General features: G+C 41.0%; 1 annotated feature.

Annotated features, from left to right (window-relative positions):
- Positions 6,689-6,983: a silencer, noted in NCBI's record as "tiled region #2436; K562 Repressive non-DNase unmatched - State 24:Quies". NCBI's record gives its function as "represses a minimal TATA promoter and a strong SV40 promoter by Sharpr-MPRA in K562 cells {active_cell/tissue: K562}" and the evidence as "EXISTENCE:reporter gene assay evidence [ECO:0000049][PMID:27701403]".

Raw genomic sequence — 7,206 nt, forward strand, 5'->3', positions numbered from 1 at the left:
TGGTAAATTTACGCTTCCACTTTAATCTTTGGGGCACTGTTTCTCGTCTTGTGGGAAGCAAACAATTGCTTGTTGGTAGTATGTGAGTGGTGTCTTGGGTTAGGTTTCCGAAAGACAGAGTCTGAGACAGAGGTTTGGCTGTGCATGGTTTATGGAGAAGGAGCTCTCAGAAGAAAGGGAATGAGAAAGCAGAATGAGGTACAGGAAGGAGCTAGGCAAGACTGGGGTCTCAGCTGGAGCCTGCTTCAGCCTGACCCCATGGGGAGCTCTGGAGCAAGAAGTGCACATTGGAGTTAGTCCCTGCTAAGGCTAGGGGGCTGCTCTGTTGTACCTCTGTGTCAGTCACCATGGGATGCACGATGGATGGGGGAAGCATAACCTCCAAGTTGAGGTGGCTCCTTTTGATGGCAATTCTCCTGAACAAGAAGCAGCTGTCAGCCATCGGCTGCCAATCCTGAACAACCAGTCTGGTAAAGCGGGCCTGAGCAGGACAGCAGGGGTGTCTCCTACAAGAGGAGAGAGGCTGGGTATTCTGATTCACGTCGTGGTGTATGAAAAATGGCAAGAACGTCCACAGCATGGTAATTATCACATTTCCTCAGTTATCTGTGTAACTTTGCCTGCCGCATGCTTATGTTTTCATTGAGTCATTAGGTAACTTGCTGGTTAAACTGTATGTCATGGGGGAAGAGTTCTGGCAACTTACTTCAGTGAAATGCAAGTTTATGGTCATTGCTGACAGCCTGGAACCTGCTATTTCAAAAATGCTTTCTAGCCGGGCGTGGTGGCTCACACCTGTAATCCCAGCACTTTGGGAGGCCAAGGTGGGTGGATCATGAGGTCAGGAGGTCGAGACCAGCCTGACCAACATGGTGAAACCCCATCTCTACTAAAAATCCAAAGATTAGCCGGGCGTGGTGACACGTGCCTGTAGTCCCAACTACTCAGGAGGCTGGGGCAGGAGAATCACTTGAACCCAGGAGGCGGAGGTTGCAGTGAGCAGAGATCATGCCACTGCACTCCAGCCTGGGTGACAGAGCGAGACCATATCTCAAAAAGAAAAGCATTCTATATACGTTGCAAATCTTCTATGTAGTAAATAAAAGGCCTATTGAAAAGCAAGCAATTGAAAATGCAAGTGATGCCACTTTAAGGTTTGGGGAGGTGACAGCTTTTAAACAAATTGGCCATCTTATAAAGACCAAAAAAAAAAAAAATAGAATATGGAAAGCAAGACACCTTTCCTCATTCATCTCTGGATTATAAGCAAAAAGCTCTGTCTCCCCAGGAAGCCCAGAAGCCACCGAGGAAAGTTCTCAGTGAATGAACAGGAGTCATAGCTGTCCTCCACCTCCCTGCTCATGACCTGCAGGGAGCAGCAGTGTGTGAGGTCCGGAGGAAAGCTGGGATCCCCAGGCTGCCACTGGCTTGACTAGGCAGGAGAGTGGCTGCCAGAGCCAAAGGGCAACTCACTGGTAGCTGGCAAGGCCATCTCAGGCCCACCCCATTAAATTAGTATTAGCCAGGGATGCATGCTCCAGTTCACAGTTACATGCTCAGCCAAGGATAATTTCCTTCCCACACAATGAGGAGAAATAAACAGTTTGCATGAGTCCTCAGCTTTATATCCAGGTTTATCCCAGCCAACTCCAGAGCCAATCCACTGAAAAGTGTCCAGTTTGTGCTCCTGTCTAGGTATTTGAATAATAATCTGTAATTCTTATCCTCAGAGAAGCCCAGGGCTCACTGGTGTGCTCTCTCTCTCTCTTTTTTCCCTACTTCCCCCCCTTGCAAGCCCCTTTTCCTAGCTGCCTATATTAGCTCTAACTTAATTATCCCTCTCTGAAAGAGAAGAACAAGTTTCTCAAGGATTCTCTTATGGACTCAGATTAGGAGCACTTGGGCAGTGAGGTATTAGATGCACATCAGCAATTCTACAAGTGCATATTAAAGCACCCACTGTGTCCTAGGCCCAAAAGTCATGTACAGGAATTAGACAGGAACCCCAGGGCTCCCTATCTAGTAAAGACAAAGATATAAACACAATTAGTACAGCCGTTCACATCTCAAGTGTATTTGAATTATGATTTATTGTTTTGTAACTCAAGTCTATTCTATTTCTAGCCTTTATTCTGCCCCAGTGACAGAAACATACACAACCTGGGGTTTGTTCCCCTCTCTTCTCCCTGGAGCTGTGTCTCATTTCCAGGAGTTTAGTCAAGGCAGAGATGTCTTGGTTATTGGCTAACAATGGGAGCTGGGCACGGTATCCCTCAGCCTGGCTGGTCTTTGGTCTACTGAGGAGGGGGTGGCAGTGGGGGCATGAGACCATTTCTGAAAGATAATTCTGACATTGGGTGGAAGATGGAGTTAGGAGGCAGGCAAAGACTGTAGGCAGGAGGAGGAATTCAAGGGTTAAGTATCCAGGGAAAGAATGATGAATTTGGTCTGGATTCGATAGTGATAGAAGCAGGGAGGAGGGAAAAGAATGGAGAGGAGTTTGAAAGGCAGAGTTTATGGAATTTGTGACTGATGACATGCGGGATAAGAGGAAAGGTGGCAATGAAGGTTTCAGTCTTGGGTGACTACATGGCAAGTGGTGCCCCTCCCACACCAGTAGTTTTATCCAGGTCCATACTTAGCAACTGCAGAGCCAATCCATAGGAAAGCAGGGGAGCAGGGGCCTGGCCTGGCTGAGTACCAACTGAGGTGTGAGCAGAGAATCACAGATGTGGGCATCCTCACAACTCAGGTGCTCAGTTGTGCCAAGGACAAGGATGGGACTACCAGGAAGAACGCAGAGCCAAAGGAAAGAGCTGAAGACAGAGACCTATAGAGCATCGATATGCAAGGGGTAGACAGAGAAGTCACAACGGTGAGGAGATAGGAAGGGGGTGAGCACAGAGGCTGTTAGATGCACCAAAGGGAGAGTTTCCAGAAGGATATTTTCCAGCAAGATCATGGTCTCTTTACCATGGTCATGAACTGAACTTACTTACTAGACACCAGATGATTTGAAATTTAAAAGAAAGAAACGATCCTTTTACTGAAAGAGCAGTTACAATTTTGCAGAAGCAGATCAGCTACAAAGAACATTTGTAGCTGAAATGAGAAAAACTCAAAATCATGATGCTAGGAACATGGGTTGGTCCAGTAACAAGTGAGACAGAAAAAGGACTGAGGAGAAACGTAAGGAGAGGAATGGAGAACAACCAGTTGGGAAGAAGCAACTGAGATAATTGAATCTGATTTGAGCATGCTAGAAATGAACACACACTGAAAGAGTCCTTCTGACCAGGCTTGGCAGAAACACCCAAGTATTGGTTTGATGAAATGCCAGGAGGCATGAGTGTAGAATAGTTGGCTTCCCAAAATCTAGATTGCAGGACAATCTAGAATTACATCATGCCCCAGACTGCTAGTTATAAGATGGCAGAGTAAAGAAGTTTCTGGTACCCTTTTCTTTTGGAAATGCCTCAAAACAACAAGGAGAAGGAGAGACAGGACACAGGACACAAACTCCATTTTTGACAGAACTAGGGACATCTGTAAAGCTGAGCCACAATACATGAGGAAGAGTTGCCAAATGCAGAGAAAATTAGACAGAGTTCTGGAAGATGGGAAAAGCACAAAATAAGTGATAAACCCTGAGGGGTGAATTTAACAATTCTATCTTTGGATCCAGATGGGTTTTGTGAGTTGGCAGGGGGACTTCCCTGGATTCTACAGAATCACAGAGGTGATGGGCCAAATATCCACAAGTGGAAATCATGTGGGTAATACACATAATTCTCTGATTACAATGCAATTGGACTAAAAATGAATGACATAGGCTTTAAAACACCATGTCAGAATCTATGGGCTACAGCTAAAGAGTTCTCAGAGAAAAATTCATAATCTTAAGCATACATTATAAATAAGATGAAGAGAGATGAATTACACATACATTCTCAAGGAGTTATAAAAAGAACAAAAAATAAGGCTATTAAAGCAGAAGAAAATAATAAATAAAGCCAGAAATCAATTTATTATAAAATACAAAAAACAGTAAAACTACATAAAAAGAGATATAGATAAGAGAAAGAGAAGACAGACAGACATATGTTCTTTGACAGGGAAAAATACATCTAATAAAATAGAAAATCCTAAGCTAAAGTAAGGACTAAAGGTGTGAAGCATGAAAAATTAAAAATGAAAATGTGAAAATGTGCAAATATAGAATATATTAAAAGAAGCATAAGAGAGACTATTTTTATCACTTATATTCCAGTGATTTGGAAAACCTGAATGTAGAATTGTCCAAGAAGACATAAATTACCAAAATTGAACCCCAAGATACAGGCAATTTAAATAAGCCAATTACTGTCAAGTAAAAAAAAAACTAGAAAAAAAAATTGTCAAATAGCTACTTATCACAAAAACACCAAGTCCAGATGGTTTCACAGGGAAAACCTACCAAAACTATAAGGAATAGCAAAGCTGATGCTATTTAAAATTGTTGCAGAACAGAGAAAAAGAAAGATTCAAAATTATTTTTATGAAGTCACCACAACACTGATACCCAAATCCAACAAAGATAGCAGACAAAAAAGAAAACTACAGACTGATCTCACTTGCGAATGTTGACAAAAAATACATAACTTAAAAATGCTAGCAAGTAGAGTCCAGCAACCAGTTAGCTAGATACCTAACATAACATGATTAATTGGAGTGTATGCCAAGAGAAAAAATATGGCTCGATATTATAGAACATATGAATATAACTAATCATTCAATCACACAAATGGAAACATTATAAGGTATCTACAGAGGTGCTGAAAAATGATCAGATAAAATTCATATCCATTCTTGATTTTAGTGCAAGTCACCAATTTTCCCAATTTGTTTGGGACTGAGAAGTTTCCCAGGAACAAGACTTTCAATGCCAAAACTGGGAAAGGCCCAGGCAAAAGGGACAGGTTGGTTACACTCATTTTGATAGAAATAGACAAATACTTTTTTATCCATAGAGACAGAGAGAAGCATGGCTCTGTACAAGCATGCATCTCAACCCAAACAGCAGCATCACAGAAACACTGCAAATATCATCAGTAAAGTCAGGAAGAAGTCAGCGACATCCACTGACACCATATTATTTTAACATTGTTATGGAAGTACTAGCCAATGCAATTATGTAGGAGAATAAAATTAAAAGTACAAAAAAACAGGAAGGAGGAAATAACATTACCACTACCTACAGTTAATATGATTGTATACCTGTAACACCTAAGAGAATCAACTAAAATTTCAAACAATGAAAAACAGGTAAGGCAGTTGGGTGTATAATAATAAAACAAAAAATAGAAAGTATTCCTACAAAAAAAATGGTAAGCTGTTAGAAAATGTCATAGACGAAAAGATACCCTTGACAAGAGAAACAAAAATATAAAATATCTAGAACTAAATTTAAATAGAATTGATTCAAATTAACAAGATATACAAGGTGTATGAAGAAAACTTAAACTGAGGTAAATATGGAAAAGAAAAGTTGAAGAAATTAATACGCATATTCCATCCTTGCATGGGAAGGCTGTCAATTCTCCCAAAAGTAATCTATATATGTAATGTGAGAAGAATAAAAATACCAACAGAATATTCTTTTTGGACTAGAAAACTGAATTTTGAAATGTCTCTTGAGAAGCACAACACAGCAGACCTTCCAAAAAGTAATTGTTATTCATCTCTCCCAGTGCTCCTCATCACAGCATCCTGGCTTCCCTTCCTTTTCGCTTTCCTCTTTCTCACCCCACTCCCCACATACCTGACGGATTTTCTCATCTTCCCAGGCTACCCCTCCCAGACTCATCCTTTTCTACTTAAGTAATTTGACCTGCTTTCAAATTCCACCCTCTCCTTCCCAGTATTCTCCCTGAACACAACAGAAGGCACATAGCCATCTAAGCAGCAAAGACTCTTTCCTCCATAGATGGGAGCTGGGGGGAGATTGAGAGATGGGGAGCAGGATGAGAGGGAAGCAGACAACTGTAAATACCCACACACACACACCTTTTAACTACTGCAAGTTTTGGATTGCTGTAACACTTTAATAAACAATGTGTATTAATTAGCTTTGCAAATAATAAGCACTATAATACTAGCCAAAACTTTAATAAGACAGTCAACAAGAGAACAATAATCATTCATGTTGAAATTTCAAAACCCATGCACCAAGATGTACATAAACTATAACTTGACATGACTGAAAAAATTCTATGCATTTTTTAGTTTTTTCTCAGGCCTCTAATATTTGTACACCTTCTCTTTTATCTTTCTTTACAAAATTTAAAACAGGATCTAAAAAATTGACCCTCTCTAGAGAATGTGCCATCTGTAATTTAATTATTTCTAGTGAGGGATAATTGCCATGATCCATAACTCCACATCCTTGCTTGTCACTGTATCAGTCAGGATTTGCTAGATTATGGTGTGATAACAAACAATGTCAAATCTTCCTGGCTTTAAATAATGGAGTTAATTTTTCACACATAGAACATGTACAATGCAGGTTGTCCAGGGCTTTGCTCATTGCAATTACTTAGTAACCCCCAACTCCCATTTCTACTATCATAGAGGCAGGATAATGGGAACGTGGCAACTCACACACTGTTCTTAAAGCTTCTGCCCAGAAGTGACACACATCACGTCCTCTCACATGCCACCGGCCAGAGCAAATCTCATGGCATGCCTGATTACAACCGAGTGGGAATGTATCCTTCTCCCTGAGACAGAGGCACTGGATGTTTTTGCACAGTGATACAGTCTACCAAAATCCCCTTTGTTCCCAAGGCCATGGTGAAATGAAAAGCCAGACTGAGCTCTGCAAGAGAACATAGCCAAGTGGCCCACCAAAGAGTAAACCCAGGGCCCGGACCACATTTGCTCTTGGACTTTCAACCAGGTGGAAGTAAGGATATTTGCTCTCTCTGGAAACTTCTGACCTCTTGGGAAGAAGGTGAAAGGGTGGCAAATATTTGAGAAATAAGTTCAATTTTTCAGACAAAACTCAAACAAAGGCTTTATTTTGTTGTGAAGTGACCATATTTTGGGAAGGAGGAAAAAGCAAATGAATATATTTTCTCTACATTTCTCAAACTTCCAAATATAAATGAGTGGGCCAAGGCTAAGTATCTCAAAAATGTCTTGATTGCAGATACACAAGTATCCATA

This window comes from Homo sapiens, chromosome 3 (genome assembly GCF_000001405.40).
Source record: "Homo sapiens chromosome 3, GRCh38.p14 Primary Assembly".
NCBI lineage: Eukaryota > Metazoa > Chordata > Mammalia > Primates > Hominidae > Homo > Homo sapiens.